The following is a 27,944-nucleotide window of genomic DNA, read 5'->3' as shown; positions in this document are numbered from 1 at the left end:
CTGGATTTGTTCATCAATAACTCCCCATTACCGCCTCCTCCAGCCCCTGGTAACCACTATTCTACTTTCTACCTCTATTACTCTGACTATTCCCACCTTCACTCTCTTTATCAAGAAATATTTATTGAGCATGCACTGTGCCAGGCCCTGGAGATACACCTGTGGACCCAATAGACATGACCTTGCCCTCACAGAACTTACATACATGGCCTTTGCAGCTAGGAACGTGGACAAAAGCTTCAAGGAGACTGTTGCAGCATTGCACAGGGACCAATCTGTGGCAACAGCCATATATTTTTGATCTTTTCATTTTTCAGGGAAAAGAGAGTGCTAGTGACTCTCTCCTGCCTCTAAGATTGAGTAGTTTATAGGACCAGCATTAGGATGATACTTGCCTGACATGTAAACCCAAGCTCCTTCCCCCATTCAGTTCTGTGTCTCCAGGAAAGTAGGTGAATCTTAGCAGGTGATTTCTACATCTATAAAAGGGGATCGGGGTATTTGTGCAGGCCCATGGAACGCATAATTCCAGGTAAGTTCATCTTCATCCTGCCCATGTCCCCAGTTCATGCCATCCACTACTTCACCCACCTGTAGCCTAGCTTTGGAATAACTGACCACAGAGCTATTCCATACTCTCCTCCGACCTTTTCTGATCATCTCCTTTCTGCCCCATAGACAGATAACTTTGTCATAAATTGACATGGGAGATCAAGTGTCCCAAGGGATCACAGTTCAAAATAAGATAGCACACCTCCAGTCTACCAAATCCCATTGAGGAATATATTTCCCAGAGCTGTCTCCTAGCAGCCACTGAGGGGCTCTCATGAATTGGGCAGGGTTCTTATGTCCCAGTCCCAATAGCACTAGCAGTCACTGGACTTCTTGATTTTTGTTAGACATCCTTTGAAAACATTCAAGTCATTTTTCAATGAAAGGAAACCAATATGTTCAATCCTGCTAATGTTTAGTGCCCTGCAGAAATAAGGTATTGAATAGTATTCTTCTGAGTCTGAAATGTCCCAGATTGGTTCCTCAAATACAGTCCCTACACTAAGAGATTCTGGATGTTGAGCTAGTGGTATTCATTAGGTTGTTTTGTTTTGTTTTGTTAACCATAAATCTGACCACAAGTAAATGTTTTCTAACAAGCACAAGCCATATAAAAAAGACCTTCCTATTAGGTTGTCCAACGCTTAAACAGATGCCCTCCCATGGCTGGACTAGCAACAAGTCCACAGAGGCCTCCTGGTGGATTCATTTCCACTGGGAAGTATGCACACTTTTGCTGCACTTACACGATGCAAAGACCAAGTTTTAAAGGCCAAAAAAAGGACAATAATACTCAATCGCAGAGAAACCTTAAACCATGTATCATTAACCTTTCTCCATAATTTGAGTTACACACCACCATTTTTTTATAGGTCATTCTTTAAAAGGGGTTAGCAATGTTTTTCCCCTTTGAGTCGTGGGAGCTGAAGGAGTATATACTTTATTCTTTTATGTTCTACCTTGTAGATGTTTTAAAAATGTTCTACACTGACCATGTATCATATTGATAAACAGAAAAAATAAAATGATTATGATTTCTTTCATGAGAATAAGGCATATAGAAAAGAAAAAGATTTTATTCAAAAATTTAAAGTGAGCAAGTAAGTTTGTTAATTCACTCTCTTTTTATTTTTCTCATCTGATAGAGAATGCATGCAATAACCAATAAAATTCTTTTTTATGAACTATGAAAATACACGGAATGCTTAGATGCAAAACAAAATCATCATAAGCACTTCTAGAAGAGCTGACATCAATTTCTCTCCTCTGGCAGATTTTAGCTAAAACTTCATTAATTATTAGCAAAAATAATTTTTTAAAATGAAAAAAATGTCAAACCAAATGCAACTTTAATAATTTAGAATTTAAGGACAAATGCTTCTTATCTTTTAAGAAGCTCTTATAAGATCATCTTATCTCTTACAGTACAAATATTGTTACAGTTGAACACGAAGATGACAATAAACAATGCGAACCCCCTGCCTCAGCACAGCTTTTTGACCTCTTGAATCACCACTAATTTGTACACAGAAACCTCCAAAGAAGAAAGCGAAATCCAGTTGGAGGAGCACCCACTGGCCCTTCTTCCCTCCCACTGCTGTGTGCTGCGCTTCTTCGTTAACTCAGCTTCCGCCATACCCTCAATCTTCACCTAGGGACCACAGCTGCTCTCTGTCCTTGACCTCCCTGCCTTAGGAGAATCCTGCGAGTCGTTGAGGACTTGCTCCCACTCCCAAGTGGAGGCCTCATATTCTTCCACAGCCTTCAAGGGTGCAGCTATCTTTCTTATTCCCTAATACTTCTTCCAGATCATTCCTCTTCCTACTTTCTGGGAAAACCCTACTCTTCTTCATCCCCCTCATCTTTATCTGCCATATGTCCCAGTCACTCCTCGCTTTCATTTAACATGATAGAACCCACTTACTGTCTTCATCCCAACCTGCAAATGCTCCCACACTGTGGGAATCTCAAAACTCCATCCTAGCCTCTCGGTTCCTTCACATGACTGCACCTTAGGGGTTCAGAGGTAATGAAAGATTTTACTAGACAGTTTATCAAGTCTGATCATCTTGAGTAGTTAGTCATACTGATGTAGAGTAAATATCTTATCTATGATCACTCCATCTCTGAAATATTCCATTCAAACTTCCTGATGTCTTCTCACAATCTCCTGCCCTAGGTCTCTCACTGAATTACTCCTGACACACCTATCAATCAGCCCCATCTGTCATATTATACATCCAGCTTGGACTCTGTCATCTGACCACTCTCCTTGCAATATCATCAACTCATTTGCCCACCTGGCCTTCCATCACCTCTGGCCTGGAAAAGCCCAGCTCTGTGTACAAAAAACTCTCTACCTTCTGCATGCCACATCTGTGCTGCTTAGCACTGCTAGGGACTGAACTCATAAGTTAATACAATAGCAATAAAAATGACAACAACAACAATAAGAAGAAGAAGAATATTTATTAAGTGCTTACTACCTACCAGACACTGTACTAAATGCTTTACATGTGTTATCTAAGCTCACAACTACCCCATGAACAACTCAGTGTACTCATTATCCCCATTCTTGGAAGAAACTGATGATCAGAGACATTATATCCTTGCCCACATTAACACACATGGTGTCAGAATAGGGCCTCACAGGGACTGAGCCCAGGCATGTCTTACCTCAGAGCCCGTGCTCACCAGCACAGCGTGGACCACTGTTGTCAGTCTCTAGCACCCTACAGTGCTGTTCCTCTCATAACACAGCAGCTATTCTACATCCTCATTATCCTCGGGCCTCCTTCTTCTAACCCCCACCTCCCAGCTGAAGCTGAGGCCCTCAACTTCTGCTTCACAGAAAAAGTAAGAGCCATACAAAAAGAGAATACCTGCCTTCACTTCCCATCACCAACCCAATTAAATTAGCACCCCATCCTTTCATCCCTCCCTCTTCCTTCCATGCCACCCACTTCTCAGGGACCTTGCCTACTGATTGACCATTCTCCTCTCCTTCTTGTACTGTCTTAACTTCTCACTCCCATTAGCAAGTAAGCAGGCTCATTCTCACCTCCAGTCCTCTACTACACAGAGGAATAATGTTATTCTTCTCTTCATTTGCTGGGATTCACATTCTGCCACTTCCACCAAGAAGTCTCTCATCCTCAACTCCCAAGGGAGGTCATAACACCCATCCTCTAAGCTCACTCCTACTGTGATCTGAGCTTCCTTCTCTCATCCTTGTCTATTCCTCGACTGACCTTCCAGGCTCCCCAGTAGATGGCGAGTTCTGTGAGGGCAGGGACCTTGTTCAATGAAATAGTCTCAACCCTGGCATAGTGCTTGGCACAAAGTAGGTACCCAAAAATATATATTGAATGAATTAATGAATAGACTAATGGATGCAAGGAGAGGCAAGGTGACAGAGAACTTTAAACATGCAGAACATTTAGACTATGAAATAAGAAAAAGGGAGTCATTAATATTTTTGACCAAAAAGGATGAAACAATAAAAGCTAAGCTTGGTTTTGTTTTATAAGATTAGTCTTGTTGTGTCTTTGGAATAAAATGAAGTACAGAGACTAGACTTCTGAGGCCAACCAAAGCAATATTACAAGCACAAAGTAACAAATGCCTAATCTAGGGTTACAGTAATAAAAATGAAATTATATTTCAAAACAAAAATCAGTAAGACTTCCTGATGCATCCATTGTGCGGGCTGAATGCAACTGGACAAATCAAGGTGACTCCATCTACTTCAGGATTCTGCAGTCCACCAGTAGTAGAATATAAAGTTTAAGGCGACATGTGTGCTATAATATGTTTTTGGTTACTTGTCTAAAAGTTATTTAGCCTGTCATATTCATTTAGTATATCCTATGAACTGAGCATGATTCTTAGGATACAGCTAGTGCTGACTGAACCGATGGATGAATTTAAATTCCTCTTTTATTGCCTCAGGTCACTTTTTGGAAGGTAGGGAATATATAAATCTAATATGTAGATATGCATATAGATACAGATATATGTATGGATTCCAAATGTGAATCCCAGGCAGTGAAGAGAAAATATATATATATTTTATATGTATATATATATATATGTTTTCAATATATAATTGTACATTTATTTGTATATATGAGGTGTGTACATGTATGCATATATTATTATACACACATCCCTGTTTCCTCTAATGTCTTTTTTTCAATACACGAAAGCTATAACAACCACACAGAATTAAATCTTTTCCTTGGATTTCTCTAGTCAAATGTTAATCTCCTATTAACAATCCTTGCTCCCAGTCTTTTTATCTGAATTACCAATAACATGCATTTTTTCTTCCTAAAGATATTATTATCATCTGCATATATTTCATTGAAAAAGATATGCAAATGGCAAAAACACATGAAAAGGTACATCATTAGTAATCAGGGAACTGCAATTCAAAACCACGATGAGATACCACTTCACATCCACTAGAACGACTATAATCAAAAAGAAAGATAATAACAAGCATTGACAAGGATGTGGAAAAATTGAAACCTTCTTACACTGCTAGTGGGAATGTAAAATGGTACAGTCACTTTGGAAAACCGGCTGGTAGTTAAACATAAAGTTACCATGTGACCCAGCAATTCTGCTTCTACATATTTACCCAAAAGCAATAAAACACACATCCACAAAAGAAAAAACCTTACATAAACCTGGCCATTAGAGCAAGACCCCATCTCTACAAAATAAAATAAAAAATTATCCAGGTGTGGTGGCACACACCTATAGTCCCAGCTACTTGAGAGGATGACATGTAGCTCCTGCTGACGTGGAAGGATTGCTTGAGCCCAAGAGGTTGAGGCTGCAGTAAGCCATGATTGCACCACTGCACTCCAGCCTGGGCAACAGAGCAAGACCCTGTCTCAAAAAAAAAAGAAAAACTTATAAACAAATGTTCATAGCAGCATTATATGTAATAGTGAAAAAGTATAAATAGCTTAAATGTTCATCAACTGATAAATAGATAAACAAAATGTGGTATATCTATACAATGAAATACTAAGTGGCCTTGAAAAAGAATGAAGTACTAATACATGCTACAACATGGATGAACCTTGAAAGCATTATGCTGAGTGGGGAAAAAAAGCCAGTCACAAAAGACTATATATTGTATTATTTCTTTTCTATGAACTATCTAAAATAGTCAAATCTATAAAAACAGAAAGTAGATTAGTGGTTGGAGGAGGGGGTATTGAGGAGTGGTGATGGAAGGATGCAGGGTTTCTGTGGAAAGTAATAAAAATGTTCTAAAATTGATTGTGGTAACGATTATACAACTTCTTGAATATACTAAAAACCATTGACGTATACACTGTGAATGAGTGAATCATTTGGTATGTGATTTATATCTCAATAAAGGTGTTACAAAATATATTGTCATGGAAGTAGTACACTTGTATAGATAAACTTATTTATTTAGAGAAAAGGAGCAAAAATAAATGGGGGTGCCATTTTCAGTGGTGAGAGGTTGGGCATATTTACACCAAATGACTGCTTTTCAAGAAATAAATCAGGAACGTGACATAGACAGCACTAGTCAAGGGCAGTCTGAATACTGCCAATAACGTTACCTTTTGCCTTTACTTAGGATAAATTCTTGTGCTAAAGAATCTGAATTAGGCCGGGCACAGTGGCTCTCGCCTGCAATCCCAGCACTTTGGGAGGCCGAGGCGGGCAGATCACGAGGTCAGGAGGCCAACACCATCCTGGCTAACACGGTGAAACCCCGTCTCTACTAAAAATACAAAACATTAGCCAGCCGTGGTGGCGGTCGCCTGTAGTCCCAGCTACTCGGGACGCTGAGGCAGGAGAATGGCATGAACCCAGGAGGCAGAGCTTGCAGTGAGCCAAGATCGCGCCACTGCACTCTGGCCTGGGCGACAGAACAAGACTCCGTCTCAAAAAAAAAAAAAGAAAGAAAGAAAAGAATCTGAATTAAATAGCAATATCATTGTCTATCATTTCACTAAATTTTGGCTAACCTACTCTGTCCAAATGGAAATGAGAATGTCAAGGCAAGAAAAATGTGGCTGGTCTAATTTAGAAAATACTGAGATAAGGATTATTTCCTTGGGAGGAAAAGTAAACAAAAAAATACCCCAGTTCATTTTTCTCTAAGATCCCATTCAAACTCCATGTTCTCATCTGTAGAATACGGAGGAGGGTATTTAACTAGATACCCTTAAGCTTCTTTCTGCTTCCAAAATTCTATGACTATGGCACACAATTAAACCAAGGAATATGTATCAGAATTGTGGTGAAACCTATCAGGATTACAGGGAAAACTTCAAGATTTGCCAGGAGCTCAGATAGAAACTTCATCTGGGTTGGAAAACCTTGGAACATTGGAAAACCTCGTCTAAGAGCTCATGCTCTACACTGACTCTTTTACCTGAAATAGATAAGATGGGAAAAATTCAGTTCAGCATAATTGCTCGTCCTACCATCTGTAATAACAACTAATGATCAGGGTGTGTTTTAAGCCTGAATTGCTTCAGTCACTATGTGAAGAGAAACAATCACAAAAAGACTCTCTCTGAAATGGTCTGAACTGTTCAGGCCTAGGAATTGTGACTGGCCGATTTCTTTCAAATATTATTGTTTTCTAATGGAGTGGGACTCAGCAAGAAATTTTTCAGGCCAAAGTAATACATGCTTCTTACCCCTTGATAAATCCAGACAAGATGGGGCATTCAAAATAGGAAAAAGACTTTGGGACAACGATGGAATGTGAATTGGCTTCTTAGCTCTGCAACTGGAAAGCAAAATTCCAAGTACTGGAAACCCAAAGATGTGGCAGCCCACTGGGAAACATAGCTCTGAAACAGAAGAAGCTAGGAAAGAAACAATAATAAAAAAATTGATGAGTTACCCAGGAATTGGAAATATTGATCCATGAATAGAAATTCAGAAAATTTAAATTGGGGTGGAGGAAAAATGTATCTTATCATTCTTTAAAAAACAATTTTTTTGAAAGACCCAGGCTATCTGGGCAAGGTACTAAAATATGCTAATACATTTATAGCTTAGTGTCGGAGGGCCACTCTGTCATTCTTAATCCCCATGAGCTAGTCTCTGCCTTTATCCCCTAAGTAATGAACAAACCAGTCTTAGAAGATGAAATGGGTTGGGTTCACTCAGACTGGTTCAGATAGTTTTCCCTCTAGATTATAGCTGGCTTTTAGGAAGGAGGCACATACAAATTAGGCTTCCCATTTCAATCCATAAATCTAATTTTACTTCAATGTAAGTAGGCCTTGACATCAACTTTATGTGCTCTTCAACTCTATTCCAGCTAAACCTGTAAAGTCTTTCTGTATGGGGGCAACAAAGTACCCAGTTTCATGCTTAAAAAATTACTTTCAGTATAGAAAAAGAAGACTGAAAATACCACTACACAAATTGTACTGTTGTTGAACAAGGAAAGGAAATGTGAGGAGGGAGGGCAGGAGAAATCTAGTTGCCTGTCATTTTAACAAAATGTCAGGCCTTTTTCAAGATTTCTAAGCTGGTCTTTGCTAAGATTTGATTCATGGCGTAGGACTTGTAACTAGAATGAGGATGAACTTTTCTTTGTGATTTATAAGAGACTACTGTGACTCGTTCAAGAAATCTATGTTCAACGCAATACATTAACTAGAAGCCCACCAAAGTATGCAGACTCTTCAATCCAAGTTTCCAGAAACTTCTGCAACTGGGAAAATCAGTTTCGAAATTTTTTCAAATGGTAATGTGAATTCCTTGGAAGCAAAGTTAGTATACCGTCCTACACTCTCCTAATGAGGGCAATTATGTTATACCTGCTTGATTTAAATTATATGTAGTGAGTAGAATTTATGGCAAAGGTACTGCAAAGGAATTCCAACATTCAATGAATTTACAGAAGAGGAAAGAAAGAAAATCATTTTGTGGTTCAAAAAATAATGAAAACCTCTCAGACCCAAAGTGAAATTGTATATTTCTGTTTACCAACATACCAGTAAAATGCATGCCCTGAAAAACACTAAGAGGAAGCCTGCTAAGGTCACGACAAAAACAGGACTCATTGATATCCATGGTGCCTTAAGGAAAAGGGAACCTCCGTGAGGTCCTACTAAGTGTCAGCTACCTTCCATATATCCTATGGCTCAATTCTCCCAACATTGAGACCTAAATGTTACTCTCTATGCACAGCTGAGGACACCAAAGCACAGCGAGGCCAAGCACTTTGTCCAAGATCAACATAGCTGGTCAACTGAGCCAGATTTTGAACATGAATCTATAAGCTACAGAGTCCAGGCCATTAAATCACTCTCCAAGAGGCATTCTGTGCTTTTCTAAGTTGAAAAGAGAATTTTCTCAGCAGTCTTCCTTCTTTATTTCCTATTTTTTTCTGAAAGGGGCTGCCTCACCTGAGGTAGAAATGAATTTAAATTCATTCCCATCCCCTAGACTAAAATAAACTCTGCAACATCCACAAACTGATATCAGAAATATAGCATAGGGAGAGAAGCAGATATGCCCACCACAAGACAAGTTTTCCTTTTGACTTAAGGTATTCAATGGTGCTCCTGAAAGGGAGAATGCATTGAATAGGAGCTCTTTAAGATTCATTTCTTTAAAAAAAAAATACAGCTTCATTAAAAATAATATCTAACCATGGTTTTTAAAGCTTTTGTTTTTTCCCAGAAGTTTTGTGTGTTTAATCTTGAGAACAACCCAAGAGGTAGAACAGGTACTCATCCAAGGTATTTGAGTTGTATGTAGCATTATATTAATTGCTACATACAATTACTTTTAAAGGCAAAAACCACAATTAACTTTTGCACCAAACTAATATTATTACATGGGCAAGTGAGGCTTCATGAGACAAATGTTAATAAATGCTTAATTCGCATATTAACTGCTTGGACACAAATAGTTTACACCAAATACTTGAAGTCGGTTATTTAACATACAAGAGACTCTTAACATTTCCAGTGTGGGATAGCCACTGAGCCAGTTGGCATTCCTTCCCTAAAAATCAACCCTTTTTATTTGTTTTCCATTCTTAAATCTTAACACTTTTTTTCTTTGAAGTTCCACTGAGTATAAAAAACAGTGCTGGCCGGGAGCGGTGGCTCATGCCTGTAATCTCAGCACTTTGGGAGGCAGAGGCAGGTGGATTGCCTGAGGTCAGGAGTTCAAGACCAGTCTGGCCAACATGGTGAAACCCCCGTCTCTACTAAAAATACAAAAAAATTAGCCAGGCCTAGTGGTGTGCACCTGTAATCCCAGCTACTCAGGAGGCTGAGGCAGGAGAATTGCTTGAACCAGGGAGGTGGAGGTTGCAGTAAGTCAAGATCGCACCACTGCACTCCAGCCTGGGCGACAGAGCAAGACTCCGTCTCAAAACAAAACAAACAAACAAACAACAGTGCTAGACATCACAGAGGCTAAAAAACAAAGAATCCCACAAGAACCAAAGTTGGAAAAAAGGAAAAAAACGCAGAGCCATTAAAAATAATCTACAAAAATTCACATAGTAGTAGACATTAATCCTTGGCTGCACAGAGGAGTCACTCAATGAGCCTTAAAAATATGAATCACTGGGTCATGGCCCCACATATTCTGATTTCACTGGTCTGGGGTGGAGCCTGAGCTTTGGTACTTTTTAGAAGCTCCCAGGTGATTCTATTGTGCAGCTGAGGTTGGAAGCACTGCTTACAAGAGCAATGGAGAGACACACAGTACATGGATGGCTGAGAGTGTCAGTGAACAACTGTCAGGACATTGTAGGGATCTCCTTCCTTCCTTCCTTCCTCTCACCTGAATTGGCCCCTTGAGTTAAGTAGCGTTTGGACTGGGTTATGAAGAATAGGCAGTTTTGAAGCGTTGGGGATGGAGAACAGAGAAAGTGAGTCAGAGGAGGAAGAAATGCCATAAACCAAAAAAAAAGATGTGAAAAAGAACAAGGAGCATTTCAGGGATTTTGAGTTTGAGTGGAGCAGAATCTTGTGGGACATTAAGGAGGAGAACAGGCTAGAAATGTGCGGCAGGGCCCAGAGGCAGAGAGTCTGAAGGCAGCTACGTTTGAAGCTGATTTCGGAAGTAATAAGAAACTACTGCTAATTTCTGAGCCAGGAAAGAAGGTGAACAAAATAACTGTCACTCTGTAACTGGAAATGCAGGGAAATTCTTCTAGAGAATGTGCTGCATGGATGGTAGAGGAGAGCCTGGAGAGAGGAAGGTCAGGGAGCAAGTGATAGAGATGAGGAAGGCCAAGGTCAGAGGCAGTGCACCAGGACCATGGCAGTGTGAGGGCAAAGGACACATCCAAGGCACACTGTGATGGAGGAAGTGACAGGACTTAACTGGATGATAGGAGACAAGGAGAGAAAGGGATCAAAGATGGCCCTAAGATTTAGCCCTTGGTGACATAATTAACAGAAATGGGAACTCAGGAGGAAGAAGCAGGCTTCAGAGGGCAGATGATGAATTCCATTTTACACACATTTTGCCTCAGCTGCTGTCATGTCATCAATTTGGAAATGTCCAGTGACAAGTCTGAAATTAGGAGTTTGGCACAGCAGGGTATTTCAAGGTAGAAGTAGAGACTTAGGTGTAATGTTGTCATAATAGTGGATCATTAGAGAAAGCCCTAAGTGAATTCTCTGAGGGACATAAGATAAGAAAGCACCTCTGGATATGGTTGAAGGGGCTTATGAAGGACACAGGGAACAGTCCAACACAGAAAGGGACAAGGACAGGCTGTATTATGGGACTCGATGAGAAAAAGATTCCAAGAGCATGGGATAATCTACAATAGCAAATGTTGCATACAATAATCACATATGAAGGCAAGAAAAAAAAAAAAAACTGTGTATGGCCAATCACAGGTCATTGGAGACCAAACACACAGAAGAATGAGTGCAGCATCCACAGCATGTGATGTCAGAGTAAGACCACAAGAAGTTGAAGGTGGGAGGTAAGAAGCGGAGACAAAAAGTGGAGTCATCTGGTTCAAAACGTTTACAAGAGGAGGAAAGAGGAAAATACTCAGGCAGCTGGAAAGAGTATTAGGATCACCTGAAATCAAGATAAAGTAGTGTCGTGAATGCATACGTGTAGGGATTGGAGTCAATAGAAGAGGCTTTATATGCCAGAGAGGAAGAGGGCACTGGGAAGAGTGAAGGAAATCATTGAGAAGGTAAATCAAAGGCAACCAAGGGGAGGAAGGTAGGATTGCCCCCAGACAAAAGGACAGATCCACTTTTTCCTGAAAACAGAAGGAGAGGAGGTAGGATTAATAAAAGGACAGCTTAGAAAAGATGAAAAAGAGAAGAATGAGGAAGCTAAAAGCCTGATGAGTTAGATTTTCTTAATGAAGCAGAAATCAAAGTTACCTTCAAAAGGTAGGGGAAATGACATGGTCCAGGGGAAGGGACAAAGCCTTCACAATAGGCAGGATGGGAGTACAAGCTAGAGACTTTTATTGACTCATTATTGCCTGGATAGATCACCTAAAGTAATCAAGGAACCTATATGGCATTAACCTCAAAATTATATCTCTATAAGTGCTACCACCCAGAAATAATCTGAGTGTACAAGCTGTCTTTGTGGCATGATTCCCCGCTAGAGGTCTTCAACCAGTAACTCTTTCACACCTTCAATTTAGGGTGTCAGAATTTCTTCAAAAGGATGCAAACTTCAGCCTAGCCCAGTTTAACCCACTCTTCCCAGTTGGGCTTCACTGCTATTGTGTTCACTTGCAAGTCTCCCGTGGCCCAAGCAGACAGATTCTCAACTCAACCTGTGTCCTTGAACAAGTCACATATCGTCCGCCTTCTCAACTGGAAAATGAAGGGTGATGACAATGCCGCACTGCCTCCAGGACAAAGGGCTTGTGAGGATTAAACAACAAATGGCTGAGCAATTTGCAGTTATGAAGCTATAGAAAAGCTTAGTGATCATCTCTGCCTGGCTGGGCACAGTGCAGTTCAGCAAACACAAAAGCCACATTCAGACCTTCCCAGGTGCCAAAGACCCGCAGAGAGCTGGCCAAATGAAGCAGAATCAGAAGACAAAAGAAAATCCCTCAACAAAACAAGGCAAGAGGAAAGAGAGTGCACAGAGGAAAGGGATTGGGAGGTTAGAGGGTCATGGAGTTTTCAGCCTCTGAAATTCTCCTGGACAAAGGAATCATTTCATGTTTCTCTTTGGGTTACAATATGTGAGTGCATTTATCGTAGACTGCACATTGACCCTGCAGCCATCTAGGAAATCTATCTGATGGATAGGGAGAGGTGTCTGATATGCACTGGCACCCCTTCTTTCCAATAAAACCAGCTGTTGCACCATTTCAAGGCTTCTACAAGGAATCTCACTTGTGGGTCACTGTCCTCCAGAAAAGAAGCAAGTAGAGCAACACTTCAAAGCATTTGAGGTACACTTCTTTCCCTTTTTTTTCTCAACCAGAGACTTATTCGATATTAACTTCTTCATGAACATTACAGTTTTTAGTCTTAGATTATAGACTGGGCAAAACTATTTTAAAGCCCACTAAATGTTGAAAGTTGCCACACTTGTCCTCCTTATCAACATCCTACAGTGCTCTCTAATGAGTATCACAGAGGATTTCTAAAGAAATACCCTCCTTGGGGATAGGTGAGTCACACTTGAGTTTGTAGTGTAACCCAGGGGTTCCCAAGGTCCCACGCAGCTTGAGAATCGTAGAAGAGCACTGTGACACTGTATGGCTAGGTGGGCTGAATGAATGGTCCTCATCTACTAAATAGGAATTACCTTCAAGCTCCCAGCCCCAAGGTGTCTGAGAGGCTCCACGAGAGCAGACACGGTGGTGATGGTACTATTTTCAGAGTGGAGCCGTCATCTCTGCTCTCTAACTGCTTTCTCCATCACACAGTTCTGGGGTCCCTGGGTTCCAGTGCCACTGCTGTGGGATTACTGAGGCCACTACATCCTGTGCTCACCTGCTCTTGGCTACAAGGAACCCCAGGCCTCAGCCCTCTCTGCACTGCCAGCCTCAGGCATTGGCCTCCATCTTGTGGTGGCCACTATTGCCGCTCTCCTGCTAACATCTCAGGGCAGCAGCTTCTTTCTTAATGTCCTTCTTGTTCAGAAGAGTCAAGGGCACTCACAACAACGGGGTTGGGGGCTCTTGTGGCATTATTATTTTGCATCTTCCTCATACACAATCCTCTTACACAGAACACATGGTTGTGGGCAGGAGGGCATGGTTGTCCATCTTAGATCCCGTGTGCCATCCTGACATTGGGTCGCAGGCTTGGTCTTCCCCATCCTTTCCAACTCCTTGTTCACTGAGGGTAACTTTCTCCCAGGGACCCTGTTCCTAATCTCCCTTGAACCAGGTTCCCTTGGGGTAAGCATCTGTTACAGCGATAGTCAGATGCATCAGGATAGGTGTGAACATCAGCTTTGGATGAGATTTAAACTCTTTTTTAAGGGGCTTCTGGACCTCAGGCCTGAAGTTTGCCCTCTTAGGCATGTTAAAAGAAAACCTTTAGACAAATTAAATTTGGAGGGTTTGGTTTTGTTTTGTTTTGAGACACAGTTTCACTCTGTTGCCCAGGCTGGAGTGCCAGTGCTGCGATCTTGGCTCACTGCAACCTCTGCCTCCCAGGTTCAAGCAATTCTCATGCCTCAGCCCCAACCCAAGCAGCTGGGATTACAGGCATGAACCACCATGCCCTGCCAATTTTTGTATTTTTAGTAGAGACGGGATTTCACCATGTTGTTCAGGCTGGTCTGGAACTCCTGACCTCAAGTTGACCCACCTGCCTTGGCCTCCCCAGGTGCTGGGATTACAGGTGTGAGCCACCGTGCCTAGCTAATTTGGAGTTTAGTTGAGCAAAGAACAACTTGTGAATCAGACAGCCCCTGAACCAGAAGAGGTTCAGAGAGACTCCAGTGCTGCCATGTGGTTAAAAAAGATTTGTAAACAGAAAAACAAAAATGATGCACAAAAATGGAAGGGAGGTAGAGAAACAGCTGGATTGGTTTCAGTTCCATGTTTGCCTTATTTAAACATAGTTTGAACAGTTGGCCACCTTTGATTGGCAAAACCTCAGTGATTGAACCAAGAGTAGGTTATGGTCTATTTATACATCCAGTTAGGTTACGGTTCACTATGTACAGAGAAACCTTTAGGCTGAACTTAAAATATGTAAGGAGGCAGCTTTAGGCTAGACTTAATTTAATAGTCCATAACAATGACTCCAACCTGGGTTCACTCCTCAATGTCTAGCTGACCTGTGGAAAATTCACATCCTTGCCATTCTTCCCAGTGGGAATACAGGCCCTGCAGCTGCCACCCCTTTGCCAGAGCCAGGCAGCTTCCAGAAAATCTCTATGAGCTCCACTCCAGTACCTGGAGTGAGCTGACAAACTTCTGTGGCTCAGCAAACAGCCAGGTGGGAAAGGAAATGAGATTCTCTCTCTCTTTTAAGAATATGCCAAATCTCTATGAGCAGTTCTCTTGAAGTGCTACCGCCCACCTCCCTGGCCATGTATACGTGCATGCACACACACACGTGCGCACACACACACACACACATGCACTTGCACACATACACGCACACACACAGCCACTATCTCCTGGGCTGACACAACCCTTTTACCTTTAACTGTTTACCTTGATGGCTTTCTCCAACCCATCTTTCAAAGGTCTAACCTTATTTTGGATGGCTTGAAGGTGAGAGACCGGGTTGATCGTTTTGTGACTGGCTCTGCTATCCTCTTATAAATCCAGCAGGGAGGTCACTAATCCACCCGCCTCTGGAATGTAGGAGCTAGTTATTGCTTTGTACTCAGCTTTAGAGCATCAGCTGAAATTAGGACAACAGGATATCATCTGTTTTATATGTGTATTTAGGTTACTAAATACAAATTTTGGTGTGAGTCACAATTGTTTAAAAGCAATGTTTCCTAACCATTTTAATATGTATCAGCTAGTATTATATCTGCTTCATGATGAGATACATTCTAGAGTATACCCACAATTTAGTGCATAAAAGAGAAATTATAAAGATTTACCAGAGCTTCAAAAAAATCAGGAAGAAATCCAATAAGGCAGCACTTAACACTGATTATTCCCCTTATTTGAAATCCAGTGAGACACTTTTGTTTGCCATGCGTGTTTTAGGCAGTAATAGTTCTGATGGCTTTAAGAGATCTCTAGAAATTGAAAATCAGGAAATTAGTTTTTGAAAAATACTCTTTGTTCTCCCACCTTAAAGTAAAAAAGAATAACCCCACATAAGGTCTAGTTGTTGGATTGAATTACCCATTTTTAATGAAATCCTCAACATGAGTTTACCCCTCAAGTAAAAAAAAAATCCAGATAAATTAATATGCTTCCAAACTAAAGATAGTGTGCTATTTTACATCATCCAGAAATGGTCAGACAAGATAAATCTGGCTTGACATTTAATCCCTGCTGTCATATTTTTGGCTCTTTCAGTATCATTGACCAATATATTATATAAACTTCTACTCTGAACCTAGACAGAATAAATCAACTGTATCTTTCTGTTTGGGATCTTTTTTGCAGAGTTGGCAAGTTTTGACACACAGAGAATCAGAAGCAGAGGCATCCCTGATGATCCCGCTGTAACTATATCCCTGCAGCTTTCACTGCTAAAATGGAAGACATCCACCCACATGGCTCCTTGGGCAGCCTTTGCATTTGCCATGGTTTTCTGCATCCTACCTACCTCAGAAACTAGTTCTCTCAAGCTGTGGCATGCTCTCCAGCACTTCCTCAGGGAATAGCCTCCATATATTGCCTGCCCTTTACATTCTCCCCTTTCCTGGTGGCGCTCAAGTCATTGTCCAGAATGCATCACACTCAACCAAAAGGGGAAAATGTGCCTTTGGATCCTCCACCTCTCTCTCTCTGCCTTTTCCTTCTCATTGTTATCTCCAAGTCGTACCCCAGTGCTGCAGGTTTGCTCCCTCCTCCTACCAAAGGGCATTCTCAGGAAAGAATCAGAACAAGTCATTAACACATTAAGAGTGAAGTGTAAAAAACTGATTAGGTTTCACCTTTCCTTAATGCTTTTAACAATCATTAAGTCCCCTATGTGGTTTTAGCTGAAGCTCTGATTGTGGCAGACATTTCTCTGCAATATAGTCTCATTGTCATTTAACTATTTTATATGTTATAGTCTCATTTAACAATTTCCCAATCTCGAGATTTGACCCCATCACACCCCTCCGTCTCCACTCTGACACCCAGCCATTTCATTTCCAAATATCTAAAAAGATTCACCTTTTCTTCTCTGCCAGCTACTCTCCTTGCCCCCATTCCACCATTGTCTCTCAGTCCTAAAATGTTGCATCACCTTCTCCCAATAAACTATACACTACACTCACTCCTCTAAGCAAAACTGATAAACAAACTTTCTAGGAAAACTTTGTTCATAACCTCTTGAAGAAAAAAGAGAAACTATAAGTCCCCTAAGGTGCGTTTATAGCTCATTCCTCCATTACTGAAAAACAGCAAAGGAGAAAAGATAAAGTAGCCAGCAGTTTTTCGTAAATTGAAACCAAGTTTGCGTGTTTTTATACGAGCCTCTAGCATGTGATAAAATGAGTTATCTAAAGGGTTACTAGGCTTAATATATGAAGAGTTCATTTTAAAAATTGATAATTTCCATTAGAAAAAATGTTAAAGTTACATGAACAAACAATATAAAAAGAGGAAATGTAATTTGTTGCAAAAGGGAGGAAATCTCTCCCATGCATAAAGCTTCAGTAAAATAAAAATTCTTCAAGTACAAAATTAAATTAGAAAATAACAATAATAATGCTGTGGGAGAATAAATTGAAAAAGCCTTCTGGAGAGCAATTTGGTAGACGTTAAAATTTTTTAGACTCTTCATTAAGTAATTCTATGTCTAAGGAAAAATTCTAAGTCAAGAAAAATTTAAAATATGTTTTAAGAAGTTTGTAGCAGCAATGCTTATAAAAGCAAAACATTGGAGTCATCTAAAGATCCAATGATCAGGCGATGCTTTAGTAAAATATGATATATATACTTAATAGAATAGCAAAGCAGAAAAAAAAAAGGGAGTGAAGGACTCACAGCTTTGAGGAGAACTGACCAGAAGAGCTCCCCAAACAGGAGCATCAAACTGGACTTCGTGTGAGGCAGAAATACACCTTGATTGTATGAAGCCACTGAGATTTCAGGGTTTGTTTGTTAATGCATCATAATGTGACCGACTCTGACTAATAGACTAAAAACTTACTGAAAGTAAAGAAATCCACAGGAGATAAATTCATAAATACATTTTGAAAGAGAGAAGGCCCAGGGGGGCAATTGATGACAAACAGAGGAGAGACAGCTACAGTTCCAGTATGTGCAGGTTAAGTCTACAGTGGAGGTGGGAAACAGCCTTTGCAGAAGAAACCTACAAATACCATCAAGGAGGAGGACAGGTGTGAGGCACAGAACTGAAAACAAGGAATTAGTTGAATACCTGGCAATAGAAAAGTTGGACCAGTTACCCTGTTCACAGAGAGGTAGGTAAGCCAGTGTTTACCTTCCAGGAACAAAAACAAAATCTTCTCTAAGCAACGGAAAGAAAGGGAGCAGGATGGAGGGAGGGGAGACATGAGGAGGAATGATCCAGTAGGATTTCCTAAAAGGGAGAATAGAGAAAATGAAGAGTGAGAGATTATTAGGGAAATAATAATCAAATATTCTCAGACCTGGAGAAAGTGAGTCTTTTATTTGTATGGGCTCATGGAGTACGCTGCATATAAAGGGAACCACTTGGACACAGAATTGAAATTTCAAAACAGCAAAGAACAAAAAAAGATGAATTCAAAACCAATGGTGTATCCATACTACCTGAAATTATTAAGTGGCCACTGACATAATTGAAAACTGAAGCAGTTCAAAGTGACAACCTCTGAGAAGGACTGTTGTTGGACGGGATGGGTGAGGGGCTTGATTTTCATTAGAAATTCCTTTGTCTGCTTTGTGTTTCTTGCTTTTGTGCATTCCCTGGGTGGATCTTTATTTTAATGTGAAAACAAAAGAAGTAAAAATGCTGCCTACCATATCTCTAATTACACCCATAATTGTGAATTATGAATAAAAGGGAAAAAGTCACCCTACCTATATAGAACTATTATTATTATTAGAACTATTATATTATTATAATCTATTGTTATTATATAGAACTGTGATTATTATTTGCAGATGCAAATTACATCAGTTAGCTTTAAAATATGCATTTTCCCAAGTATCCATAATTGACCTAGCCTCTCGGACTCTCTCCCTAACCCACATTAGGTCATTGGCAGGAGGAAGGATAAAATGCACGTATGTTTGGTACAGGTACAACTGCATTCAGAAATGAAAGTTATTTAAATTTGTCATCATTTAATCACTATCTTATTTTCCTTCCATTAGCAACTATTAATTATGGGTTCAATTTAATACATTTATACTCTGCCACTTTTCAGGGAAAAAAAGAAATTGGAAATCACTTACAAAACAAATAAAAATTAATCAAAATAGGGTTTTAAAAGAAGGTAAAAATGGTGGGAAAAGAAAATCTAACAGGCCAATCATAGTAGTAGATGTGGTAATAGTGATAGAGCATAAAACCTGGCATCACATTTCCTGGAAACTGAGGCAATGGGAGCTCAGGAAGTGGCAACATTTCATCTCATAAATGACACAAACCATCTTCTTGGGAAAGACAAAGGTCTTTCTTGAATCAATTTTGAAAGAAATATAATGGGTGGGGCATTACAGATGGGGCATTGAAGAACATAAAGTCAGTGTTCTTCAACAAACACAGAGTTGGAAATATCCCTTTGACTATGTTATTTAGCATCCATAGCCACCCTTGACACCCATACTCACAAAACCCAACCCTTTTTCAATGCCCGTCTGATTACACTCAGTGAGTGGTTCCAAGACTTACCTGATCATAGCAATCAGCTGGTCAGCTTGTTAAAAATTCTATTTTCTTTATCCAGTCTATCATTGATAGGCATTTGGACTGGTTCCAAGTCTTTGCTATTGTGAACAGTGCTGCCATAAACATACATGTGCATGTGTCTTTATAGTAGAATGATTTATAATCCTTTGGGTATATACGTATATACACAGTAATGGGATTGCTGGGTCAAATGGTATTTCAGGTTCTAGATCTTTGAGGAATTGCCACATTGTCTTCCACAATAGTTGAACTAATTTACACTCCCACCAACAGTGTGAAAGCGTTCCTATTTCTCCACATCCTCTCCAGCATCTGTTTCCTGACTTTTTAATTATCGCCATTCTAACTGGCATGAGATGGTATCTCACTGTGGTTTTGATATGCATTTCTCTAATGACCAGTGATGATGAGCTTTTTTTCATATATTTGTTGGCCACATAAATGTCTTCTTTTGAGAAGTATCTATTCATATCCTTTTCCCACTTTTTGATGGGCAAATCAAAAAGTTTTTTCTTGTAAATTTGTTTAAGTTCTTTGTAGATTTTTGATATTAGCCCTTTGTCAGATGGATAGATTGCAAAAATCCCATTCTGTAGGTTGCCTGCTCACTCTGATGATAGTTTCTTTTGCTGTGAAGAAACTCTTTAGTTTAATTAGATCCCATTTGTCAATTTTGGCTTTTGTTGCAATTGCTTTTGGTGTTTTAGTCATGAAGTCTTTGCCCATGCCTATGTCCTGAATGGTGTTGCCTAGGTTTTCTTCTAGGGTTTTTATGGTTTTAGGTATTAAAGTCTTTAATCCATCTTGAGTTAATTTTTGTATAAGGTGTAAGGAAGGGATCCAGCTTCAGTTTTCTGCCTATGGGTAGCCAGCTTTCCCAACACCATTTGTTAAATAGGGAATCCTTTTTCCATTTCGTGTTTTTGTCAGGTTTGTCAAAGATCAGATGGTTGTAGATGTGTGGTGTTATTTATGAGGCCTCTGTTCTGTTCCATTGGTCTGTTTATCTGTTTTGGTACCAGTACCGTACTGTTCTGGTTACTGTAGCCTTGTAGTATAGTTTGAAGTCAGGTAGTGTGATGCCTCCAGCTTTGTTCTTTTTGCTTAGGATTGTCTTGGCTATACAGGCTCTTTTTTGGTTCATATGAATTTTAAAGTAGATTTTTTCTAATTATTTGAAGAAGGTCAATGGTAGCTTGATGGGGATAGTATTGAATCTGTAAATTACTTTAGAAAGTATGGCCATTTTCATGATATTGATTCTTCCCATCCAGAAGCATGGAATGTTTTTCCATTTGTTTGTGTCCTCTCTTATTTTCTTGAGCAGTGGTTTGTAATTCTCCTTTAAGAGGTCCTTCACATCCCTTGTAAGCTGTATTCCTAGGTATTTTATTCTCTTTGTAGCAATTGGAATATATGCAGCCATAAAAAAGGATGAGTTCATGTCCTTTGCAGGGTCATAGATGAAACTGGAAACCATCATTCTCAGCAAACTAACACAGGAACAGAAAACCAAACACTGCATGTTCTCACTCATAAGTGGGAGTTAAACAATGAGAACACAAGGACACAAGGAGGGGAACATTACACACCAGGGCCTGTTGGAGGGTGGGGGCTAGAGGAGGGATAGCATTAGGAGAAATACCTAATGTATATGATGGGTTGATGGGTGCAGCAAACCACCATGGCACGTGTATACCTATGTAACAAACCTGCACATTCTGCACATGTATCCCAGAACTTAAAGTAAAATTTTAAAAATAAAAATAAATAAAGAAAATCCCAGAATGTGGTAAAAAAAAAAAAAAAAACCTTTCTGTTTTTCAAGGCTGTGTCATCTACATTATTTCAGTGGCATTGCACATCAACCTTGTAGACAGAGAAAGTAAAAAAAAAAAAAAACAATCTATTTTCCAGGTCCTTCCCCTGGAGACTTTGATTTGCTAAGTCTGTAAGAATCTCCATTTTTAACACACTCCCCAGGTAAGCAGGCAAGTTTGGAAAGCAAGGTGATAGGTGATAGTCTACAGCTGCAAGTAAGCTTGCTCCTCTTGCTGCTCATACCCTAGCTGCTTAATCTCCCTCAGCTTGACTCCCTCAGCATCCTAATGCCTGGACTCTCTCCAATCATAATCTCCTCTGATATGCATTTGCAAGACAGCATTTGAGAAAGATAAGGAATGTAACATTTGTTGCTTGATGGTAATAACTCATAACTCCTCTTTCCCTTCCTCCATAACACCAATTTCATCAGCGTTACCATGAGAATTCACTAGAGGATCCACATGAGGTCTATCATGTGCACGATTTCATACAAACACATCTGTGCTGATGTACACATCTTTTTATCTTTACAGATGATATGTCAGCCGCTGCAGAACTTTTATAAAGTCTTAAGAGTTCATCTATTATTTCTAAAATAAGGTAGGAACAAATCTCCCTGGGAAAAGTGCTACATACATTGGGGCATACATTCGTTTTGCTAGACTCCCATGCTGAACTAATTGCACTTCCGAAACTTTCTTGCCTGAGCCATGTTTCAAGAAGGCTCTCAGCTACATAGAACACAAACTACCTTCCATACACATCAAAATCAGAAGAAGTGCCAGATTTCTCCCAGAGCGTCTTGTTTCTCCCCTGCCATTCATGAGAAACCTATTCCAACATGTTGCATTACAGGGAAATTGGAGATGAGACAGTCACAAAAGTAGAGAGATGTTTAGCCTAAGAACAGTTATACGTGTTCCAGAATGAAGCAAAAAAAAGGTCAAACTTAAGTCAAGGAAATGGCTCAGCTTTCTCTAAAACAGAGACAGAGAACTTCTTCTCAGCTGAAAACATAACAAGAACGGGAGAGGAAAGAAACCTGAGATACAGCTTGATAACCTTTCTTGTCTTGGCCAAATATTCATTTGGATTGTCAAAATTCATAGAGAATCAAACTGTGCATGAAGACTAAAGGTGAAGTATAATCTATATATAAATAAAAAGAACTGTAATCATGGCTTAGGAGTAGAGGACCCAAAAAAAATGCATTGCCCATGTACTTTGAAGTTTTAGGATGCTGTGGAAGTCACAAATTCAATAAAGGCCAACTAGAGAGGTCAGACCTGCTCCAGATGTTCCAAATCAGCCTCTCCAGTCAAACCCTGACCATCTAGAAGGAATTAATGATTAGCTATCATGTGAATCCTATTAAAGAATATCTATATTTCTTTTTTAGACACAAAATTCTCTAGAGGATGGTGCTTGCCAAGACTCTGAAAAAATAATCTCTCAAAATTCTTGCAATCCACTGTGTTATGATTTCATCTCATGAAATACAACACCTTTACATTAAAACTCATAAAACTAAATCCCACTGGATCTCTTCCAGACTCAGATTAAGCAGCTCTGTTGGTGATGCTTAGAGAAGGGAAATACAGCCTCATCTCCTCAAACTGGTTCCCACCACTGGGTCCATTTTGCAGGGAGCAAATTTGCTTTACATCTACAAAATATTTACATGTGAGTAATTTCATACATAATAGATCTTGCAAATGCCTTGTGAATGAAAGAATATCTTCCAACATCACAGTGATAATTCCCCTGAAAGGAATCTTTTAAACTGAAATACACACAATTTCATCCTGGTTTTCCAGTCTATGGAAGTTATCTCTGGTTCTCCTGGATTCGCCTGTGGGTGGTCAAAAGTATGAATATAAGGGCCAGAAAGGACAAAATAAAATGCTCTTCTCACTAAAGAGAAATTCACTTGAGTTTACATTATATTCTTGACTCAAGAAGAAAGAACGCCTTGCTAAATAAAGTGACAATATCTACATGTAACATAAACACACACTGACAAAAAGCAAATCTGCACATGCTCCTATCAGTAGCTATACATTTTCCCAATACTTGGTAATTTTTGGCAACAAGGTCATCCTGTGATAAAGATCTCACCAAGAAATAAATCAATGATCAGTAACGCAAAGATTGATACCTCATACATTCATATTATTGTTATTATTAGAAACACTTTCCTTCGTTTACATTTGTCTTCAGTCTTTCCATTTATATCAAAAATGAAACAAACATCATTAAGGAATTGTCTTTGTCAGCCTCATCAAGAATGTTTTACAGGAATTCCACATGTCATCTGAAATGTCTCTGATGCCATCCTTTTTATGTAATACATGAAATGACAGAATATAGACTCTTTTGGTGTCACCACAGGATAGATTTCCATTCACCTCAGCAAATATTACATGAAATAGAGGTAAGTTTCTTGGTCTGGGAAGGCTTTTCTCTAGCTAGGCATTCATATGATAGAATGGAGGTCCTATTTCATTCAACAAGTAACTGTTGAATGCCTTCGTTGAACTGGCATGGTGAAATAAAGCATATTACCAGGTAGTAATAATTGTCCACTTCATAAGAATCCAATCCCATTTCTAATGCATCTTCTAAAGGTCATTAGTATACATTTGACATCCCCTTTTCACCTTTTCTACATTCATGTATTTTCAAGATTCAACCCACCATTCCTGAATTAAAACTCTAAGGTGATTAGCCAGTGGCATTTGGCTGCGGCCTGGGAATTCCAATGTTCCACAAAGGAGCTTCTGCTGGTCTCCTATAGCATTGAAGTTCACAAGGTGCTCACGTCTCTAGTCAATTTCAGGAATATATTTATAATTTACCCATAAGGCACTCATACATGCAAATCCATCCTTTCCACTATTTCCACATTAGTGGGAGTGACATTGTTATCCCCATGTTTCTAGTAGTAAGAAATGACCAGATTAAGGGGTCTGTATTAATCTGTGTCCCATCAAATGATCCTATGTGCCACAAAAGCTTAAGAACCATGGACCTAGGCCTCCCTTATCTTATTCAGGTTGTCAATCATTTATATTATAAATTCATAGAGAGAAAGTATTTTAGTCTTCAAAGCATGAAAATTTTTCTCTCATTGGTTGTTAGCATCAGCTGGACCTATAAGACATCTTACATCAACCGTTTCTGGCTGGCCCCTGGAATACAAATGAAGATAGTGTTTGTGTTACTACAGGGCCAGTGAGGGGGTGTGAGCCCTTATTATCAATTCCAGTGAGCTCTTCTCATATGTAAAAATGCCTTTGCTCTAAACCAATACACAAAAAATACAAAAGAATCACATATTCTCTCATTCACTTCATGTGCCATAAAACATTTACTGATCTCTGCAAGTCTGGCTGTATGGACAACAAATAACCCAGGGCCCACATTTGTAATACAGTGATCATAGAGTATCAGACTTTAAGATGTTTAACCTCTCTGATCTTCCTCAGTTTTTTTCATCTATATGATAGAAATAATACCTTTTTAGTAGGAGTTTTTAAATTATTAAATGAAAATAATACCTATGAAAACACCTTAAACTAATACTAGTTTTTGCTGCTGCTGCCATTATTAAGCCCAAACTGAACCTCCCAAGGCCATTCTTGCCCAAGATCATTTATTCATTCTACAAATATGTCCCAAGCACCTATTAAGTGCCAAGCACTGCATGATTCAGTGATTACTAAAAGCTTTATAGAGCTTATTATGGTCTGTCTAGTGAAGGGGAAATACATTGATTTAATAATCACACTCCAAAAAAATGGAAAGTTGTTACTGTAACAAGTACTGTGAAAGAACGATACGTAATGTTACGAGAATTTATCATAGAGGATTTTGACCAGAGGGGGCCATTATGGTTCATTTATTCAACAACATTAATTGGGCACATTAATTGCCACACACTGTGAAGGTGCCAGGGATTCAAAGATGAAGGCATGATGCCAATCTCCAATAGATTAGCAATGCAGAGAAGAACCAGGAATTCTAGCATCTACTCTCATTCCCTCACTACTACAACCCCTGTCTTCCTCTACACCCACTGCATCTCCGCTCCACCATCAGCATCATTCTCAGTGATTTGGCTAAGTCGCTTGGCCTTCTTGGGGCCTCAGGTACCTCACCTGTAAAACAGCAGAAATGTCTTCCCAGCCTAGGACTGGATCCTGGATCAACTGACCTCTTGGGATTCTTTCCCCTGTAAAGCCAGTGATACGGCAGACGGACTGCCACTTTGGCTGAGGAGTTAGCCTTCTGGTCAGAAAGATTTTTCTCCTAACATCATGGAGAAGAAAAATAAGTCAAGCAAGCAGTATTCCCCATGGGAGGTTCCAATATCCATCCTCCCACAAAGTCAAAGCAACCACAAAAGATAAACTTCCGCCAGGCGTGGCGGCTCACCCCTGTAATCCCAGCACTTTGGGAGGCTGAGGTGGGCGGATCACCTGAGGTCAGGAGTTCAAGACCAGTGTGGCCAACATGGCGAAACCCCGTCTCTACTAAAACTACAAAAATTAGCTGGGTGTGGTAGCTCATGCCTGTAATCCCAGCTACTTGGGAGGCTGAGGCAGGAGAATCACTTGAACGCAGGAGGCAGAGGTTGCAGTGAGCCGAGATGGTGCCACTGCACTCCAGCCTGGGCAACGACAAAAAAAGCAAGACTCCGTCTCAAAAAAAAAAAAAAAAAAAAGATAGCCTTCCACTCTGAGGTCAATATGAATTTCAGTGTGGGCCAATACTAATGTTAACCAACACTGGGATTCATCAATTTTTTTTTTTTTTTTTTTTTAGTTCCAGGGTACTTGTGCAGGATGTGCAGGTTTGTTGCACAGGTAAACATGTGCCATGGTGGTTTACTGCACCTATCAACCCATCAGCTAACTATTAAGGCCAGCATGCATTAGCTATTTTTCCTGATGCTCTCCCTCCCCCAACCCCACAACAGGCCCCACTGTGTGTTGTTCCCCTCCCTATGTGTTCTCATTGTTCAGCTCCCACTTACAAGTGAGAACATGTGGCGTTTGGTTTTCTGTTCCTGCATTAGTTTGCTGAAGATAAAGGCTTCCAGCTCCAACCATGTCCCTGCAAAAAACTTGATCTCATTCGTTTTTATGGCTGCATAGTATTCTGTGGTGTATATGTACCACATTTTCTTTATCCAGTCTATCATTGATGGGCATTTGGGTTGATTTCATGTCTTGCTATTGCGAATATTGCTGCAATGAACATATGCATGCATGTATCTCTGTAATAGAATGATTTATATTCTTTTGGGTACATAGTAATGGGATTGCTGGGTCAAATGGTATTTCTGGTTCTTGGTCTTTGAGGAATCGTCACACTGTCTTCCACAATGATTGAACTAATTTACATTCCCACCAACAGTGTAAAAGTTTTCCTATTTCTCCACAGCCTTGCCAACATCTGTTGTTTCTTGACTTTTTAACTGGCATGAGATGGTGTCTTGTTGTTGTGATTTGCATTTCTCTAATTATCCGTGATGTTGAGCTTTTTTTCATATGTTTTTTGGCCACGTAAATGTCTTCTTTCAAAAAGTGTCTATTCATGTCTTTTGCCCACTTTTTACTGGAGTTGTTTGGTTTTTTTGTGTGTAAATTTGTTTAAGTTCCTTGTAGATTCTGGATATTAGACCTTTGTCAGATGGATAGATTGCAAAAATTTTCTCCTATTTACTCAAGTCTTGGAGGAAAAAAAAATAGGGTTTTTCTTTGATATTTTATTATCAGATGGTCTGTTCACTCTGATGATAGTTTATTTTGCTGTGCAGAAGCTCTTTAGTTTAATTAGGTCCCATTTCTCAATTTTTGCTTTTGGTGTTTTCGTCATGAAATCTTTGCCCATGCCTATGTCCTGAATGGTGTTGCCTAGATTTTCTTCTAGGGTTTCTGTGGTTTCAGGTTTTACATTTAAGTCTTTAATCCATCTTGAGTTAATTTTTATATAAGGTGTAAGGAAAGAGTCCGGTTTCAATTTTCTGCATATGGCTAGCCAGTTCTCCCAACACCATTTATTAAATAGGGAATCCTTTCCCCATTGCTTGTTTTTGTCAGGTTTTTGAAGATCAGATTGTTGTACAAGTGTGGTCTTATTTCTGAGTTCTCTATTCTGTTCTATTGGTCTTTGTGTCTGTTTTTGTACCAGTACCATGCTGTTTTGGTTACTGTAGCCTTGGAGTATAGTTTGAAGTCAGGTAGTGTGGTGCCTCCAGCTTTGTTCTTTTTGCTTAAGATTGTCTTGGCTATATGGGCTCTTTTTTGGTTCCATGTTAATTTTAAAGTAGTTTTTTCTAATTCTGTGAAAAATGTCAATGGTAGTTTAATGGGAATAGCATTGAATCTATAAATTACTTTGGGCAGTATGGCCATTTTGATTCTTCCTATCCAGGAGCATGGAATATTTTTCCGTTTTTTTGTTTCCTCTCAGATTTCCTTAAGCAGTGGCTTGTGGTTCTCCTTGAAAAGGTCATTTACTTCCCTTGATAGCTGTATTCCTAGGTATTTTATTCTC

The 27,944-nt window shown here is 39.7% G+C and overlaps 1 long non-coding RNA gene across 1 annotated transcript in view, besides 4 other annotated features; it reads right to left on the bottom strand.

Moving 5' to 3' along the window:
• Nucleotides 1–18,761, bottom strand: part of LOC101927947 (uncharacterized) — a 469,997-nt gene extending 451,236 nt beyond the window's left edge. The window contains exons 1-3 of the long non-coding RNA XR_007058336.1: nucleotides 15,628–18,761; nucleotides 7,257–7,427; nucleotides 5,317–5,451 (exon numbers count right to left, since the gene is read on the bottom strand). This is a non-coding gene — a long non-coding RNA (uncharacterized LOC101927947). The remainder of the gene's footprint in view (nucleotides 1–5,316; nucleotides 5,452–7,256; nucleotides 7,428–15,627) is intronic.
• Nucleotides 15,717–15,886: an enhancer, noted in NCBI's record as "experimental_74908 CRE fragment used in MPRA reporter constructs". NCBI's record gives its function as "activates a minimal promoter by MPRAs in K562 erythroleukemia cells, with activity observed for both the introgressed and non-introgressed 4:154752935 variant alleles {active_cell/tissue: K562}" and the evidence as "EXISTENCE:reporter gene assay evidence [ECO:0000049][PMID:34662402]".
• Nucleotides 19,127–19,296: an enhancer, noted in NCBI's record as "experimental_74906 CRE fragment used in MPRA reporter constructs". NCBI's record gives its function as "activates a minimal promoter by MPRAs in K562 erythroleukemia cells, with activity observed for both the introgressed and non-introgressed 4:154749525 variant alleles {active_cell/tissue: K562}" and the evidence as "EXISTENCE:reporter gene assay evidence [ECO:0000049][PMID:34662402]".
• Nucleotides 20,013–20,182: an enhancer, noted in NCBI's record as "experimental_74905 CRE fragment used in MPRA reporter constructs". NCBI's record gives its function as "activates a minimal promoter by MPRAs in K562 erythroleukemia cells, with activity observed for the non-introgressed 4:154748639 variant allele {active_cell/tissue: K562}" and the evidence as "EXISTENCE:reporter gene assay evidence [ECO:0000049][PMID:34662402]".
• Nucleotides 24,524–24,693: an enhancer, noted in NCBI's record as "experimental_74898 CRE fragment used in MPRA reporter constructs". NCBI's record gives its function as "activates a minimal promoter by MPRAs in K562 erythroleukemia cells, with activity observed for both the introgressed and non-introgressed 4:154744128 variant alleles {active_cell/tissue: K562}" and the evidence as "EXISTENCE:reporter gene assay evidence [ECO:0000049][PMID:34662402]".

Source organism: Homo sapiens, chromosome 4 (assembly GCF_000001405.40).
Source record: "Homo sapiens chromosome 4, GRCh38.p14 Primary Assembly".
NCBI classification, from domain to species: Eukaryota; Metazoa; Chordata; class Mammalia; order Primates; family Hominidae; genus Homo; species Homo sapiens.
The sequence above is the reverse complement of the archived record's forward strand: the minus strand, read 5'-3'. Positions and strand labels throughout refer to the sequence as shown.